Source organism: Homo sapiens, chromosome 20, assembly GCF_000001405.40.
Source record: "Homo sapiens chromosome 20, GRCh38.p14 Primary Assembly".
NCBI lineage: Eukaryota > Metazoa > Chordata > Mammalia > Primates > Hominidae > Homo > Homo sapiens.
Genome location: NC_000020.11, coordinates 3,094,508 through 3,111,756, shown reverse-complemented (window position 1 = coordinate 3,111,756; position 17,249 = coordinate 3,094,508). Strand labels below are relative to the sequence as shown.

Here is a 17,249-nt window from a genome sequence, read left to right as displayed (position 1 = left end):
CTACCTTGGAGGCTGAGAAGGGCTGGTGGGCTCTGAAAGCACAGGAAAGGGGCAATCCGGGGTGGCGTCATGGAATGGGTGTGGTCTAAGCCAGGTCTCCAGATAAGGGCATTCTAGGCAGAGGGAACAGCAAGCACAAAGTGAGGAGGCCAGCAGCGCAGAGTGTGCAAAGAAGTGATTGGAAGCTGCTGGACTCTAAAAGTTGAGACTGGTGTGAAGAGAGGTGAGGAGGCTGGGTGGGCCGTGCAGGGAGTCTTGACTGTCCCGAAAGTTGGGAAGCTCCTAAGAGGTAGAAAGCAGAGTTATGGGGTGGTCAAGTTACATAGGTGGGTCATTGGAGGCAGCTTTGAGGACAGATTGAGAAGACAAGCCTGGAGCAGGTGAATAGTTAGGAAGAGATGTGTCGAGCGGCCTGGATTATGGTGATGAAATGGACAGAGAGAAGGGGGGTTAAGAAACAATTCTGAAGCAAATTGGTTTGAGGTTCCTTTGGGGTCCTCCAGAGAGTAGTGGCTAGGAATGGAGACATGGACCACAAGGAGGACAGGCAAGCCCATCCCCTGTCACTCTCCAGAGGGGCCATGAGGAAAGGAAGAGCCGTGGGTGCAGCCTGGTGGGGCATGGCCAGAGCTGCTCACTGTGACCCTCATTCAAGGATGCCCTGAAGGAGTTGCGGAAGAAGGGAGAGCCTGCCGAGAGGGCCAGGGCAGCACAGGAGGGGGACTGAGGAGTCAGGAGCAGGGCTGCCAGTAGCAGTGAGGGGGCTGCAGGCTGCAGGGCTGAAGGGAGCAGGAGCTAGGCCCCAGTGGCAGGTGCACTGCAGGCCTCAGCCTTGTCTCTGCTGACCTCCCTTCTCACACTTCCCCAACCTTGGTGCACTGGACCATGTGCTGCTTTTCCTTTTTTTTTTTTTTTCTTTTTTGTAGAGACAGTATCTCACTATGTTGCCCAGGCTGGTCTCGAACTCCTGGCTTCAAGTGATCCTCCTGTCTCAACCTCCCAAAATGCTGGGATTACAGGCTTGAGCCACCCCACTGACCTGCCTTTTCCTTCTCTTGTCGCCTCTCACATTTCTTGCAGTTTATCTTGTCAGAGTGAGCTGTGCCTTGCTCCAGCCTTGGCCACCTATCGCAGGGGAAAGTAAACCTTGCTGGGAGACCAGGAGGAAGGGCCCAGTCCTGCCTGCTGCCCTCAGAAGCCAGCTCTTCTCAAGCATTCGTAGAGGCACTGAGATTTGGTCAAAGATGATAGAGAAGAGGCCTCCCGGGTTCCCAGGCTCCCTCTCCCGCTTCCACTCCCCTACCTGATCAGACTGGGATGGACTCGGGAGGGATGAAGCCAGATGCTGCAGCAGCACGGTGGGAAGGCTCTGCCCCTCAGAGCAGCCTGGACCATGGAGCAGCTTTCCTAACCCTGGCCTGTTTTCCTTCCTGATTTACCAGAGCAGCCTGGGAGCATCCTGGGCCCCGAATGTGCCTCCTGCAAAAGAGTATTTTCTCCCTACTTCAAAAAGGAGCCGGTGTACCAGCTGCCCTGCGGCCACCTCCTGTGCCGACCCTGCCTGGGTGAGAAGCAACGCTCCCTGCCCATGACGTGCACAGCCTGCCAGCGGCCGGTTGCTAGCCAAGACGTGCTGCGGGTCCACTTCTGAGTGACTGACCTCCACTGGAGGAGACCCATTGCTGGGAGGAGCTGAGGGGGAACAGGAGCAGGGCCACAGCACCCCTGAGGTCTGGCCAGGCCCCAGGCACAGAGCTGCCTGCTCCCTCCCGGGGCTCTTCTTCATCACCTCACGGTATAGCACATTGCTTCTGCGCTGGTGGCAATAGGGCAACAAAGCCATAGGCCAGAGGGCGGGGGGATGTCCCTGCCTCCCTGCCACCCCCCCTGCCTGAGCCCAGGACCCACTGGAGCCAGCCCCACCCTAGGCAGGAAGACCCCTGCTGAGGGCCCCCCCGTGCAGTCCGCATACCCCCCTGTCCAGCAGGGCACTGTGGGTGGCTCACCCTAGATTGTGGCCCAGATCTCAGGAGTCTCTGCCTTCAGGGTCATCCAAAAGTGGACCTTGGGAGCAGTGGGGGTGTCTGTGGAGTGCATGACTCAGCCCCCCGACTCGCAGCCTTAATAAAGCGATGGTTGACGTCTGCTGTGGGTTTCCTCCTGGTGGAGTGCCTGTCTGTGTCACACACTCCTGTCGCCCACCTGCACCCACACAAGTGGAGCTCACAGGGTAGCTGTGTGCAGTCACTGCAGCTTGCCAGGCTGTCATTCCTGTCGATGACCTGAAAGGACACAAACTGGAATTTTCAGGTCTGTCCCCTGCATGGGGACTCAGAACCCAGGTTTGCAGGTGGGCATACGTGGTGGGAGGGTGGAGGGCTCCCTCTGGCCAGTGCCAGCTGTGCTCAGCTGGCTTCAGAAACTGCTCCCTGAGGGGGAGCGCAGCGTTTCCTCATGCAGTTGGTTTCAGGAAAAATACTTGTTTATAGGCTGCATCCTTTTTTCAGCCCAACATTTAGCTTTATGGAGTGCCAAAGGGAAAATATATCCATATCCCTACAACTTGGTACTCTATCAGATTCCAGCCACTAGAAGAACCTCAGTGAGAAAACACACCCGCCTTTCCCTGTTCCCTTCTAAGCACGTTTGGGAAGGAACAGCCTAAAGATGCTTTGTAAAGCTGTATTTTACCCTTGAGCTTAGCCGCGGGTCCCTGTGAACCGGCACATTCCTTTCCTTTAGGCCGTCCAGAGCTCTAGTCCACACCCAATACTTTAGAGATCTGGGTTTGGGGTTAGTTGCTTTTTTTTTTTTTTTTTTAATTGAGACAGGGTTGGTCTCTGTTGCCCAAGCTTGAGGGCAGTGGTGCAATCATAACTCATTGCAGCCTCGAACTCCTGGGCTTAAGGGATCCTTCTACCTCAGCCTCCCAGGTAGCAGGAACTATAGGCATGTGCCACCATGCCCAGCTAATTTTTTTATTTTTTGTAGAGACAAGGTCTTGCTATGTTGTCCAGACTGGTCTCAAACTCCTGGGCTCAAGCGATCCTCCCAAAGTGCTTGGATTGCAGGCATGAGCCACTTCGCCTAGCCAAGCCTGCATTTTTTTGAGTTCCTACATCATTTGTCCACAAAGATGGCTTCAGAGAGGTGGTCACATGCTTTGCTCTGCTTCCTCTTGGCACTGACCTTGATGCAGCCTTCACATGAGATTTGAGGGTCCGCATGGATGGCCTGTGCCGCCCTCGCTGGCGAGGCTCCTGTGTGCCCCTGGCTTTCTGGGTCTGTGCCTCTCCAGAATCTTGTCTTACCCTCCGGTGTGCTTGTGTTCTTAGAAAAGCCCCAGCATGGCCGGGCATGGTGGCTCATGCCTATTATCCCAGCACTTTGGGAGGCCAAGGTGGGTGGATCACTTGAGGTCAAGAGTTCGAGACCAGCCTGGCCAACATGGCAAAACCCCATCTCTACTAAAAATACAAAAATTAGCTGGGCATGGTGGTGTGTGCCTGTAATGCCAGCTACTCAGGAGGCTGAGGCATGAGAATCGCTTGAACCGGGGAGGCAGAGGTTGCAGTGAGCCGAGATCTCACCACTGTACTCCAGCCTGGGCGACGGAGTGAGACTCCCTCTCAAAAAAAGAAAAAAGCCCCAGCATGTAGCAAAAGCATTTCTTGGTGAGTGTGGGGGCTGGTGATTCCCACCTTCACCCTGTCATGGTCTCAGGGAACAGCCTGCTTCCCACCAGCAGCTTGACACCCACAGTGTGCTCTGGCTGCTGGGAGCCCATCTCTCGGAGAAACCCTGTCCACCCAACCCCGAGAGCCCTAGCGTGCAGTCAGCGTCAGCACGGCGCTCCCAGATGAGGGCCGGACTGCCTCCCCTTAAGCAGCTGTGTTGGAGGTACTGCCCAGACCGCTGCAGGTCCCTGGGGATCTGCATTTCTAACAGGCTCCTGCCCCCAAGACTGCTCTGGTGGAAAATCCAGCCTGGGAGCCCCTGGAGTGGCAGGCCCTGTCCTGGGTACAGGTGGAGCCACCCCCAGGAGTTGCGTGTGTTTTTCTTAATTGAAAGACTTCCCCCAAAAGGAAGTGGTCTTTTCACTACCCTTGCCAGAAACATGCTAGGCACCACTGGGCTCTGTTTCTGTCCCCTAGAAAATGGGAATAAAATTTCTTTTGCTGTCACCTGGCTCTGAAGGCAGTTTATTTCTCACTAGAGCCTGGACCCAGGCACAGAACAGCTGTAAACACGCAGAGTTTAAGTCCACGGACGGAGAAGACTCAGGACCTCAGAGCCTTGCTGTGGCCCTGCTGCCCTCCAGAGATCTTCCACCCCCTCCATGACCACAGGGTCTGTGGGCACATGTCTCTTCCCCTTCCTGTGACATTGACTCGGCCCTCTGAACGCAGGTCAGGGCCATGGTACCCCTGCGGTTTGGTGGGGGCAAAGGGGCCCAGGCAGCACCATTCTCCAAATCTCTCCTCCCAAGGTGCAAAGGTCTACCCTGTGGCTCTGCCTTTGGCCATTCTCTGTCCTCACTCGCAGGGGCTTGGCTCTCCAGTCGCCCTTCCAGCCCCTGAGTAGGTGGAAGAGAGGTTGGCATCAGAAAAGAAGTAGATGAACCAAATGGCCAGGAAGAAGAACAGCTGCTCACAGTGTTCCATCTCCCTGCAGCTGGGCTGCGAGGCCCCAGAGCACCTGGGGTGTGGGGCTTAGTAGCTTCTCCCAGCCCCACACCTGCCCTGCTTCCCCCGTAGCTCTCCAGCTTGAGGCCTCCCAGCGGCTGGGCACTTTTCCATTCCCCAGGAGATGGGCCTTCTGACGCTCGGTGGCTGTAAGTAGGTCTGCAGACAAAGAGTCCTGCCCTGGAGGAAACCACTTTGCCTGCCCGGCCTCCTGCCTGTGGTATTGTGACATTGTGAGGCTGGGCTGGCTGCCATTGTGATGGCCACTGGGGTGGGAAGCTGCTTCAGGCTGATTTCTCCCCCAGGACTCCTGTGGGCCTTCGTTGAGCAGGTCCTGGCTTCAGAGCTGGCCCCCCCCGGCTAGGCCTGCTGTCACCTCACCTGGCTGCTCAGCGTGTTTGCCAGTGCAGGCTCTTTCCTTCCAGTTCTGGATTGGAAGGGGCAGGGCTGGGTTGTGAATTAGTGAAAACCGCACTGTCCAGTAGAGTAGCCACTAGCCACAGTGGCTATTTAATTAAAAGTAAATGAATTTTTAAACTCGGTTCATTACTCACACCACCTACATTTAAAGTGCTTGATAGTCACATGGGGTTAGTGGCTACTGGGTTTCGGCCATAATCCCAAAAGACACAGTCCCAAAGGCCATAACACCGAATGTTGAAATCCCTAAAGATCAAAATCCCTGAAGTCTAAAATCCCTGATGTCTAATTGAATCCCCAAACCATAAGTGACAGATTTGAAATTAGGTACAATTAAGTCTTCTTAAATTTGGACTTTTGAGATTGTGATTTTTAGGATTTCAGACTTCAGGGATTTTGATCTTTCAGGATTTCAACATTTAGGATTATGGTGATGGGGATCCTGTTTTGGGAGTTATGATCAGCACAGGTGGGTCCTATATTGGACAGCACAGATAGAGACCATTTCCACCATCACCGAAAGTTCTCCTGGACAGTGCTGGGCCAAAATAAGAGCTTGTCGCCCTTCCCTCTTATGAACTGTCACCTGGGAGAGGAGGAAAGCCCCCCCCCCCATGGGGGCAGGAGAGCAAAACAATGGTGTACAAAATCAGACAGGCTTGAACCCCACCTGCCTTCCTCCCCCGCTGGGCAGAAGCGGTGCACCCAGGCTCCACCTGGCTGTAATGCACTCCCTCCCTTGCAGAGAGGTGCCTGAAATGGCTCTGTCTGTGCCAAGAGGGGTGACAAGATCTCCAGAGTGGCACAGGACTAAGGTGAGGACAAAGGAGGAAGACTTGGGAGGGTCAAGTTTATTCCCTCCGGGTTTTCACCAATAATAGGATAACGCTACCCTTAACCCGGCTATCAAGTGAGCACCACACAAACATCTTGATGTTTTCCCTTTCAATGTTTTTCTGTAAAGAAAAAAATATTTCTAGGTATATAGTGTGTGGGTCTGTTGCCTGCTATTTCTAACACTATCTCATGGACATTTGCCTTTGTCGTTAGATACTCTTCTTGTAAAGCTCATTTGTAGGCCGGGCACGGTGGTTTATGCCTGTAATCCCAGCACTTTGGGAGGCCGAGGTAGGTGGATCACCTGAGGTCGAGAGTTTGAGACCTGGCCAACATGGTGAAACCCTGTCTCTACTAAAAAGACAAAAAATTAGCCGGGTGTGGTGGCGCACGTCTGTAATCCCAGCTACTCAGGAGGCTGAGGCAGGAGAATCGCTTGAACCCGGGAGGCAGAGGTTCAAGTGATCTCACTAGCCAGGATCGCACCACTGCACTCCAGCCTGGGCAACAAGAGCAAAACTCCATCTCAAAAAAAAATAAAAATAAAGCTCATTTGTAAGAATAAGTCAAGGTAGCCAGGAAAACTCTGAAAAAGAACAGTTTGGTTTGTGGGTGGGGAGAACTAACCCACGAATACACAGGCAGATGAACAGAACAGAATGAAAAACCCATAGGCAGGCCCAACTACACATGGAAATTTTGTGTACTGCAAGGCAGGAATGGTGGAAAACTGACCTTTCCACAGGTGGCGCTGCAGTCACTGGGCGAATGAAACCATGGAAGAACTAGAGATAAATGGAAAACGAGAGAACTCCTTCGCAACCTGGGAGTGAGGAAAACTGTCCTAATTCAAAATCCAGGCCAGATGCGGTGGCTCACGCCTGTAATCCCAGCACTTTGGGTGGCCAAGGTGGGCGGATCACCTGAGGTCAGGAGTTAGAGACCACCTTGGCCAACATGGTGAAACCCCGTCTCTACTAAAAATACAAAAATTAGCCGGCGTCGTGGCGGGTGCCTGTAATCCCAGCTACTCAGGAGGCTGACGTGGGAGAATCACTTGAACCCAGGAGGCAGAGGTTGCAGGGAGCCGAGATGGCACCACTGTACTCCAGCCTGGGCGACAGAGCAAAACTCCATCTAAAACAAACAAACAAAAAAATTCAGATTCAGTAAGGAAAAAGACTGATAGATTTGACTACCTTAAGAAACAAAATAGAACAAACAAAAAAAACAGCCGGGCGTGGTGGCTCACGCCTGTACTTCCAACTCTTTGGGAGGCCAAGGAGGGAGAATCATTTGAGCCCAGGAGTTTGAGACCAGCCTGGGCAACACAGGGAGACCCTGTCTCTAAAAAAAATACAAAAATTAGCCAGGCATGGTGGTGCATGCCTGTAGTCCCAGCTACTCAGAAGGCCAAGGCAAGAGAATCACTTGAGCTTGGGAAGCAGAGGTTGCAGTGAGCCGAGATCGAGCCACTGTAATCCCAGCACTTTGGGAGGCCAAGGTGGGCGGATCACCTGAGGTCAGGAGTTTGAGACCAGCCTGGCAACATGATGAAACCCTGTCTCTACCTGTGCGACAGAGGGAGACCCTGTCTCAAAACAAACCAAAAACCCTCTTACATGGCAAAATTCATTAGCAAGTAAAAACGAAAATTACAAGCTTGGAAAATATATTTGCAACCTGTATTAAATGGTTAATACCCATAACATATAGCTTCTAAAAATAACAGATTCACAAAGAAATACAAATGGCTTTTAAACATGTAAACAATGTTCAGCCTCACTCATAATATGATGAAATAAAGAGGACCATGAAAAACTACTTCTTGCTTAGCAGATTGGCAAAAATCTCCATGTTTGGTCACAATCTGTAGGTGAGACTTCAGGTAAACAGGAGCTGTCATATACTAATGCTCAGAATACAAAGGGTACAATCTTTGGCGGGGAATGTGGCAATATCTGGCTGAGTCACGTATGCATGTACCCTTCTACCCAGCCATCCTACATCTAGGATTCTAGTCCAAAGATCCCCTGAAAAAATATGAAAAGAATTCCAGCCCCACCAGCAGGCAGCCTGGGCACCCAGAGCCAATCTTTGCAGGGCTGAGGAGCCATGTCACCCTCTGTGGAGGGGCCAGCTGTGTCCAGCCTATGGGCCCAGAAGCAAGTGCTTTACACATGCATGATTTTATCAAGGAGATTATGGAGACCTTGAAGGCCATCCATGCATGTTAAAAACCTTTGCATTCAAAAGCTTTAATAAAAGTTTATATATTGAATAAACAATGTCCTAGGCATTGCACTAAATGCCTATGTATTATCTTATTTAATCCCCACTTGGAGTTAGGATGAAACAGAGGCTCAGACCACAAAGAGCCCCTCTGATTGCCTACACGACCTACAGAAATGTCTTCACTTGATTTCAAATCCACTGTGCAATCCAGAACCAGAGGCACAACAGAGTCTAATTATGGAATAACAACCTCATGACCAGGCTCCAGCACAGCCTTTGAAATTCAGTATTACACCTCTAGGCACAAAAATAAAAGATGCTTCCCCCATAAAGGCTCAGCGGAGTTAGTCTCATGTAAATAGATGAATCTCCTGGTTGAAATGTGAATGGAAAAGTACTCGTCGTGTGCAGTTCCTGGGAGAGAAGGGTGTGGGGAGGAGGACGCACAGACGGGCTCAAGAACGGCCCTATCTACGACCCAGGGCTCTGGGTATTAGGATCCTACCGAAGTGCACTGCCTCTCTCCAGAGCCCCCAGTGTGGGATACACGTGGCCAAAGAAGATCCAATTTGAAAGAGAAACTAAACTGGGTGTTGGAAAACCTTGTGAGAGTCGGTAACCAAAGGAGGCCTGCGTGGTCCTGGTGGAGTGGGAAGGTGTGAAGGGCAGACAGTGGAACAGGCCCAGGAAGGTCAGTAAGCAGAGGCGGGAGTTGGGAGCAAAGCTGGGCTGAGGCCTACAATGTCCTCTAAACTGCTGGAGAGAACTGGGCTTGAAAAGGGAGGGGACAGGGAATCAGCATGGGGAGACAGAGGCACAGGCTGGCCTCCCCCTCCCATGATTCTTGATACCCTTCCCTTGGGCCCAGGGCCCAGACACCAGCTCTGACTCAGCGGATGAAATGCAACCCCATGGCTCATTAATTAGGAAGCCTGTAATTAGCCTGTCTCAGAAACCAGGAGCCTCCAGAGAGAGCCCCTCTCACCTGCCTTCCTCCCTTCCACCCAAAGGATGACATCAAGCTGGGGAGGTCCGGCCTCTGGGACTGAGGAGGGGAAAGTGAAGTGTGAGCAATAGGGGGAATGAGATACCAGGCACGCGTGTCTGCATGCGACAGCCTCGGCGAATTGACCTTCAATCATGAGATGATGGAAATGATGCGAAGTGGCCTAAACCCTAAATGTTTCCTCTACTGAAGAAACCCAGGGACAGGCTTGGGCGTGGCCCAGGTGGGTCTACAACACCTGCAAAGCTGCGAGCCCCTGCAACTCAGTCTGAGAGTGAAACCGCTTCCGTGGCCAGAATGTGGTTGGCACTGGGTGTGTGGTTGGCACTGTGGAGTGACTCGGCAGTGCTGCTTAGACGGCTGCTTTTAGCTGCCTCCCTCACGGCTTCCCTGCAGCTGCTTGTCCACCTTTCTCTTCAACCTTGGATTTTTCCACCTTGAAAAAATCTGTTCCAAAGCTTAGTCTCCTTTCCTCCTGGCTTCATGCCACTGATTATTTTAAATTATTGGCTGCCAATTATTTGGCCCACTTTCCCAGCCAAAAGTGGGCTCTGTTCCTTCTCTTGACCTTGGATAGGCTTGTGGCTGCTTCAGCCTATAAAGCGTGGCAACACTGACCTTCTGTGATTTCTGAGGCTAACATAAAATGCCATGTCACTCTGCCCTTGTTTTCTGGAGATTCACTCTTCATCGAAGCCCTGAGCTGCCATTCAATGGCTTCAAGAGTGAATCCAGGCTGGGCGCGGTGGCTCACGCCTGTAATCCCAACGCTTTGGGAGGCCAAGATGGGTGGATCACCTGAGGTCAGGAGTTCGAGACCAGCCTATCCAACATGGTGAAACCCCAAGTCTACTAAAAATACAAAAATTAGCTGGGTGAGGTGGCGGGTGCCTAATTCCAGCTACTCAGTAGGCCGAGGCAGGAGAATTGCTTGAACCTGGGAGGTGGTGGTTGCAGTGAGCTGAGATCTTGCCACTGCACTCCAGCAAGACCCTGTCTCAAAAAAAAAAAAAAAAAAAAAAAAAAGGTTGAATCCAACTCACAGGAAAGCAGGCAGTCCAGGCAACAGCACTGCAACTGAGCTGAGCCTTTGGGCAACTCCCGCCCAAGTGCCCAGGCATGTGAATGAAGAAGGCCCAGGTGATTTCAGCTTGTAGCCCGCCCCTCCTTCCTGTGGAGGCCCCAGACATTGTGGAACAGATAAAAGGTGTTCACTGTGACCGTCAGAACCTGTGAGCATCATAAAATGGCGGTGGGTTGATACCACTGCATGTTGAGCGGTTTGTTACACAGCAACAGTAACGGAAACAACCACAAAATCCTAGATGATTGCTACAGCGGGGCTAGGGAAGGACGGAGAAACCAGGAGGCAAAGCCGGGATCCTCCTTAGCCAAGAAGGACTGCAAATGCCCCTGTGCTGATAATTCGTGCCCTTCACTGCTGCTGGGCCTGGGCAGGCAGAGGACACACCAACTCGACTGGTCATTTACCCAAGACCCAGGGTTGGGTCCATGGCGGGTCCGGGGGATGTAGTGACCGAAAGGACCACTCTCTAGTAGGGCAGAAAGACAGGGAAACACGTGAATAAAGCATGTCTAGGGCTCCACATTGACCTGAAGCGGGAGGAGGAGGTTGGTTTAGCTAAGGTTAGGGGTAGGGGCAGGAAAGATGAAACTCAGGTTCTGATATCAGAAAATATCTCAGTGGGCCGGGTGTGGTAGCTCATGCCTGTAATCCCAGCACTTTGGGAGGCCAAAGTGAGAGGATCGTTCGAGCCCAGGAGTTCAAGACCAGCCTGGGTAACGTAATTAGCTGGGCATGGTGGCACACGTCTGTAGTCCCAGCTACTCAGGAGGCTGAGATGGGAGGATCGCTTGAGCCCAGGAGGTGAAGGCTGCAGCGAGCTGTGTTTGTGCCACTGCCCCCCAGCCTGGGCAATAGAGTGAGACCCTCTCTAAAAGAAAAGAAAAGATCTCAGTGGATTTGTGGGGGTGAGGGCTGCTTAGCTTTACAGCATTTATTTCCCTTCCTACTATCATCCTGAGATCCTCTCAAGGCACTACCCTTTCTCCATTGCATTCACTCTGAAGGAGCTTTATTCAGACACTTGAGGATGGTCATCATCCAACCTAATCCAAAAAGCCAGCCCCTCCCTGGAGTAGGCACCTGAGCAGAGGGATCAAGAGGAAGGCACTGGAGTCGCCTACAGCAGACCCTGTGGATGCCACTCCCAGGCTCCGTTCTCTTGACCCCTGGGCGTGTCCGTCCCTCAGATGCCGCACATTGGGGTCAGTGGTTTGCAGCTGGCCTTCCTCTGGACGCGTGCCTTCAGCCAGTGGTAGCCACTTCACCAAGAGAGACTCCCTCCCTGCAGCCCCCTTAGTCAATGACTAATACACAAATATTAAAAACTTGACCCTCAGGTCAGGCACCATGGCTGTAATCCCAGCGCTTTGGGAGGCCGAGGTGGGCAGATCACCTGAGGTTGGGAGTTTGAGACCAGCTTGACCAACATGGAGAAAAACCATCTCTACTAATAAAGTACAAAAAAACTAGCCGGGCATGGTGGTGCATCCCTGTAATCCCAGCTACTCGGGAAGCTAAGGCAGGAGAATCACTTGAACCTGGGAGGCGGAGGTTGCAGTGAGCCAATATCGCGCCATTGCACTCCAGCCTGGGCAACAAGAGCGAAACTCCGTCTCAAAAAAAGAAAAAAAATTAGCTTGTGTTGTGGCACACACCTATGTTCCCAGCTACTTGGGAGGCTGAGGCAGGTGGATCACTTGAGCCCAGGAAGGAGGTCAAGGCTGCAGTGAGCTGTGATTGCCCCACTGTGCTCCAGCCTAGGTGACAAAGCCAGATCCTGCCTCAAAAAAGAAAAAAGAAAAGACCTGGCGCAGTGGCTCACACCTGTAATCCCAGCACTTTGGGAGCCTGAGGTGGGCAGATCACCTGAGGTCAGGAGTTCAAGACCAGCCTGGCCAACTTGGTAAAACCCCATCTCTATTGAAAATACAAAAATTAGCCTGGTGTGGTGATGCGTGCCTGCAATCCCAGCTACTTGGGAGGCTGAGGCAGGAGAATCGCTTGAACACAGAGGCAGAGGTTGCAGTGAGCCAAGACCATGCCATTGCACTCCAGCCTGGGCAACAGATCGAAACTCTGTCTCAAAAAAGAAAAGAAAAGAAAAAAACCCATCAAAAACACTAAACATATTTTGTGATATATTTGTTTGTTTGTTTTTGAGACAGGGTTTCACTCCCGTTGCCCAGACTGGAGTGCAGTGGTGTGATCTTGGCTCACTGCAACCTCTGTTTCCTGGGCTCAAGCAATTCTCCTCTCTCAGCCTCCCAAATACCTGGGACTACAGGGATCTGGCTAATTTTTTTATTTATTCATTTTTTTTGAGATGGAGTCTCGCTCTGTCACCTAGGCTGGAGTACAGTGGCACGATCTCAGCTCACTGGAACCTTCACCTCCTTCTCCTGCTTCAGCCTCCCAAGTAGCTGAGACTACAGGTGTGTGCCACCATGCCTGGCTAATTTTTTGTACTTTCAGTAGAGACGGGGTTTCAGCATGTTAGCCAGGATGGTCTGGATCTCCTGACCTCATGATCCGCCTGCCTCGGCCTCCCAAAGTGCTGGGATTACAGACGTGAGTCCTGGTGCCCGGCCTAATTTTTATATTTTTAGTAGAGATGGGGTTTCGCCATGTTGGCCAGGCTGGTCTTGAACTCCTGAACCCAGGTGATCTGCCCGTGTCAGCCTCCCTAAGTGCTGGGATTACAAGTGTGAGCCCATGCCTTCATGATATTGTTATGTGGCTTATAATGTACATGCCAAGAACACATTATCAGCATACAGTAAACATTAGCTATTCTACATTATCCCTATTTATACAGTTTTCCTCTTTAGTGCAGGGAAATGAATAGGTCTTGGAAAATGAGAAGGATTTTGCTAAATTTAGCCTGGGGGCACCTAATGGAGGCCGGTTCCAAATATAGTCTTCCCCCTGCAGTAAATCTGCACAGCCCCTGGGTTTTGTATGCAGTTATTGATCTGGGGAATTTTTTTTTTATTTTTCCATCAGGAGGTACAGACTATCTGGATGTCAAAGGAAGGGTGAGTGGAGTTTTAATCAATATTAATAATAACAGCAATGAGTACTGAGAAGTCTTAAAAACAAGGTGAAACTAAAACATTAACTACAATAAAATATATGATTACAGTAAAGGAATCCTTTTCATTTTATATTTTATTTTATTATTTTTGGAGTCAGAATCCTGCTCTGTCACCCAGGTTGGAGTACAGTAGGGCAATCTTGATTCACTGCAACCTCCACCTCCTGGGTTCAAGCGATTCTCCTGCCTCAGCCTCCTCAGTAGCTGGGACTATAGGCACGCACGACTACACCCGGCTAGTTTTTGTATTTTTAGTAGAGACAGGGTTTCGTCATGTTGGCCAGGCTGGTCTCGAACTCCTGGCCTCAAGTGATCCACCTGCCTCGGCCTGCCAAAGTATTGGGATTACAGGCGTGAGCCACCGCACTGGGCAAGAAATCCTTTTTAAAACATTCTAAGGAACCCAGCTTGTTTGGAGGAGAATAAAGATATGGATTAATCTTAAATATTGCTTAAACTACTGAAATAATAGAAATAAGATTTAAAGATAATCCATTTTAAGACAAGAAAGAAGGAAAAAGAAGTGAAAGGGTGTCATAGTAAATGGAAAACAGAAGCAATGAAACCAGAAGTTCGAGACCAGCCTGGGCAACATATGAGACCATGTCTCTATAAAACATTTTTTTAAAAATTAGCTGGTGGCAGGCTGGGCGCGGTAGCTCACGCCTATAATCCCAGCACTTTGGGAGGCCGAGACAGGCGGATCACGAGGTCAGAAGATTGAGACCATCCTGGCTAACACAATGAAACCCTGTCTCTACTAAAAATACAAAAAATTAGCCAGGCATGGTGGCCGGCGCCTGTAGTCCCAGCTACTCAGGAGGCTGAGGCAGGAGAATGGCATGAACCCGGGAGGCAGAGCTTGCAGTGAGCCAAGATGGCACCACTGCACTCCAGCCTGGGTGATAGAGAGCGAGACTCCATCTCAAAAAAAAAAAAAAAAATTAGCTGGTGGCCGGGGGCGGTGGCTCATGTACTTTGGGAAGCTGAGGTGGGCGGATCACAAGGTCAGGAGTTCAAGACCAGCTTGGCCAATATGGAGAAACCCCGTCTTTACTGAAACTACAAAAATTAGCCAGGCGTGGTGGTAGGCGCCTGTAGTCCCAGCTACTTGGGAGGCTGAGGCAGGAGAATTGCTTTAACCTGGGAGGCGGAGGTTGCAGTGAGCCAAGATTGCGCCACTGCACTCCAGCCTGGGCAACAGAGCGAGACTCTGTCTCAAAAAAAAAAAAAAAAAAAAAAAAAAACTGGCATGGGCCAGGCACGGTAGCTCATGCCTGTAATCCCAGCACTTAGGGAGGCTGAGGCGGGTAGATCACCTGACGTCAGGAGTTCAGCCTGACCAATATGGAGAAACCCTGTCTCTACTAAAAATACAAAATTAGCCAGGTGTGGTGGCACATGCCTGTAATCCCAGCTACTCGGGAGGCTGAGGCAGGAGAATCGCTTGAACCCGGGAGGCAGAGGTTGCAGTGAGCCGAGATCGTGCCATTGCACTCAAGCCTGGGCAACAAGAGAAAAGTCTGTCTCAAAAAAAAAAAAAAAAATTAGCTGGCATGGTGGGTTGGGCTTGTAGTCCCAGCTACTTGGGAATCTGAGGTAGGAGGATAGTTTGATGACCGCGCCACTGCACTCCAGCCTGAGTGACAGAGCTAGACCGTGTCTCCACAATAACAAAAAGAAAACAGAAGCTAAATGTTTGCAAATGAATCCAAGTAGACGGGCAGCCACCATCAATGTTAACAGATTCAATTTGCCTTGTTAAAACCGGAGCTCTCAGGTTGAATAAAAAATAAAATCTTTGCCGGGCGTGGTGGCTTACACGTGTAATTCCAGCACTTCCAGAGGCCAACACCGGAGAATTCCTTGAGGCTAGGAATTCGAGACTAGCCTGAGCAACATAATAAGATCCCATCTCTACAAAAACATAAAAAATAAAAATCAGCTGGTCGTGGCGGTCGGTACCTATAGTCCCAGCTACTTGGGAGGCCGAGGCAAGAGGATCAGTTGAACCCAGAAGTTTGAGGCTGCAGTGAGCTATGATTGCACCACTGCACTCCAGCCTGGGCAACAGAGCCTATCTCTAAAAAAACACACACTTACGCCTGTAATCCCAGCACTTTAGGAGCTGAGGTGGGTGGATCACTTGAGGTCAGGAGTTCAAGACCAGCCTGGCCAACATGGTGAACATGGCCATCTCTACTAAAAATACAAAAATTAGCTGGGTGCGTTGGCAGGTGCCTGTAATCCCAGCTACTTGAGAGGCTGAGACAGGAGAATTGCTTGAACCTGGGAGGCAGCGGCTGCAGTGAGCTGAAAAACACACCACTGCCCTCCATCCTTGGCAATACAGCAAGACTCTGTCGCAAAAAAAAAGAAAAGAAAGAAAGAAAGAAGATGAAATGTAATAAAGGTATAAATCAGTGAAACAAACACTATGGAGATTCAACACAACCAGAGGTTGGTTCTTTAAAACAATCACATAAAAGGAGTCGGGTGCAGTGGCTCACGCCTGTAATCCCAGCACTTTGGGAGGCTGAGACAGGTGGATCATTTGAGGTCAGGAGCTCGATACCAGCCTAGCCGACCTGGTGAAACCCCATTTCTACTGAAAATAAAAAAATTAACCGGGCAGTAGTGGCACATGCCTGCAATGCCAGCTATTCCGGAGGCTGAGGCAGGAGAATTGCTTGAACCCAAGAGGCAGAGGTTGCATGAGCTGAGATCACGCCACTGTACTCCAGTCTGAGCAACAGAGTGAGACCCTGTCTCAAAAGAAAAAAAAAAAAAATCACATAAAAGGCACCAACAGAGAAGACCCGGCAGCACTGCCTGGAATTGGCGTACCCTTGGGGGCTGGGGACAACGGTGTGTCACTCGGGGGAGTGGACAAAGGTGAGAGTTAGCAGGGCCAGACCTGCAGGCCTGTTGGACATGTCTGGGCATTGTCCAGAGGGCAATGGGGAGCCATGGACAGGTTTTGAGCGGGAAGTGGCATGGTCAGTCAGGGAGGCAGGATGGGATGGCTCTGAAGATAACCTGGGGCCAAGCCCAGGCATGTGAGGCAGGCCAAGGCACTGGGAGGCCAGGGGCAGGCTGGGGCAGGGAGCTTGGGAACCAGGACTGATAGGCTCCTCGCTCAGTAGTTCTGCCCGGCTTAGCTGTGTGGTCCCGGACAAGCCACGGGGTCTCTCTGTGCCACAGGGTCCCCACAAGTGAAGTGATCTGTACAAGTCTACCAATGCCTTCCAGCCTGGGGCCGGGGACAAATACCCCAGTTACTGACCCAGCAGCCAGTCCCGTCCCTCCTCTTCCTCACCAACAGGACCCCATTTTGTCAGGGGCCTGTGAGCACACCTAATCTTAGGGGTGAGCTTTGGCTGGCCTAACCCAAAGAAGGCAGCCGGCTAGTGGTGCTTGTCCAGTCTGGAGGGATTTAGGGGTGGGGACTCTGGGCAGGTTTCTCCTCCCTGAGAGCGGAGAGGCTCAGAAGAGGGAACCCATTTTGTGGCTGTCCCCTTGCCACAAGGAGGGACACTCAGACATGTGGAGGGTACCAGACAGGAGTGGGGAAGCCCTAGATGCCATCCCTGAATTTCAGCCAGGCCTGGGACCACCCACTTCCCAACTTGAATTATAGTAAATTACAAATGTCTTTGGGGTTTAGTCACTGCTATTTTATTTTGTTTATTTTATATTTTATTATTATTATTTTTTATAAGACAGGGTCTGACTGTGTCACCCAGGCTGAAGTGCAGTGGCACGATCATAGCTCATTTCAGCCTCCGGTTCCTGGGCTCAAGCCATCATCCTGCCTCTGCCTTGCTAGTAGTTGGGACCACCGGCATGCACCCCCAAGCCCAATCTTTTTTTTTTCCCCTTCAA

General features: G+C 51.2%; 1 protein-coding gene and 1 long non-coding RNA gene across 4 annotated transcripts in view; one reads left to right on the top strand and one right to left on the bottom strand.

Annotated features, from left to right (window-relative positions):
• Nucleotides 1–4,184, top strand: part of UBOX5 (U-box domain containing 5) — a 52,293-nt gene extending 48,109 nt beyond the window's left edge. For 2 of the 3 annotated variants that reach the window (NM_199415.3, NM_014948.4), the window contains one exon: nucleotides 1,443–4,184. In NM_199415.3, coding sequence (NP_955447.1) covers nucleotides 1,443–1,651 — 209 coding nt within the window. In that variant the 3' untranslated portion in view covers nucleotides 1,652–4,184. The remainder of the gene's footprint in view (nucleotides 1–1,442) is intronic. The other variant, NM_001267584.2, reaches the window with a different exon arrangement.
• Nucleotides 1–4,846, bottom strand: part of UBOX5-AS1 (UBOX5 antisense RNA 1) — a 43,957-nt gene extending 39,111 nt beyond the window's left edge. The window contains exons 1-5 of the long non-coding RNA NR_038395.1: nucleotides 4,186–4,846; nucleotides 2,007–2,282; nucleotides 1,304–1,479; nucleotides 1,040–1,125; nucleotides 5–113 (exon numbers count right to left, since the gene is read on the bottom strand). This is a non-coding gene — a long non-coding RNA (UBOX5 antisense RNA 1). The remainder of the gene's footprint in view (nucleotides 1–4; nucleotides 114–1,039; nucleotides 1,126–1,303; nucleotides 1,480–2,006; nucleotides 2,283–4,185) is intronic.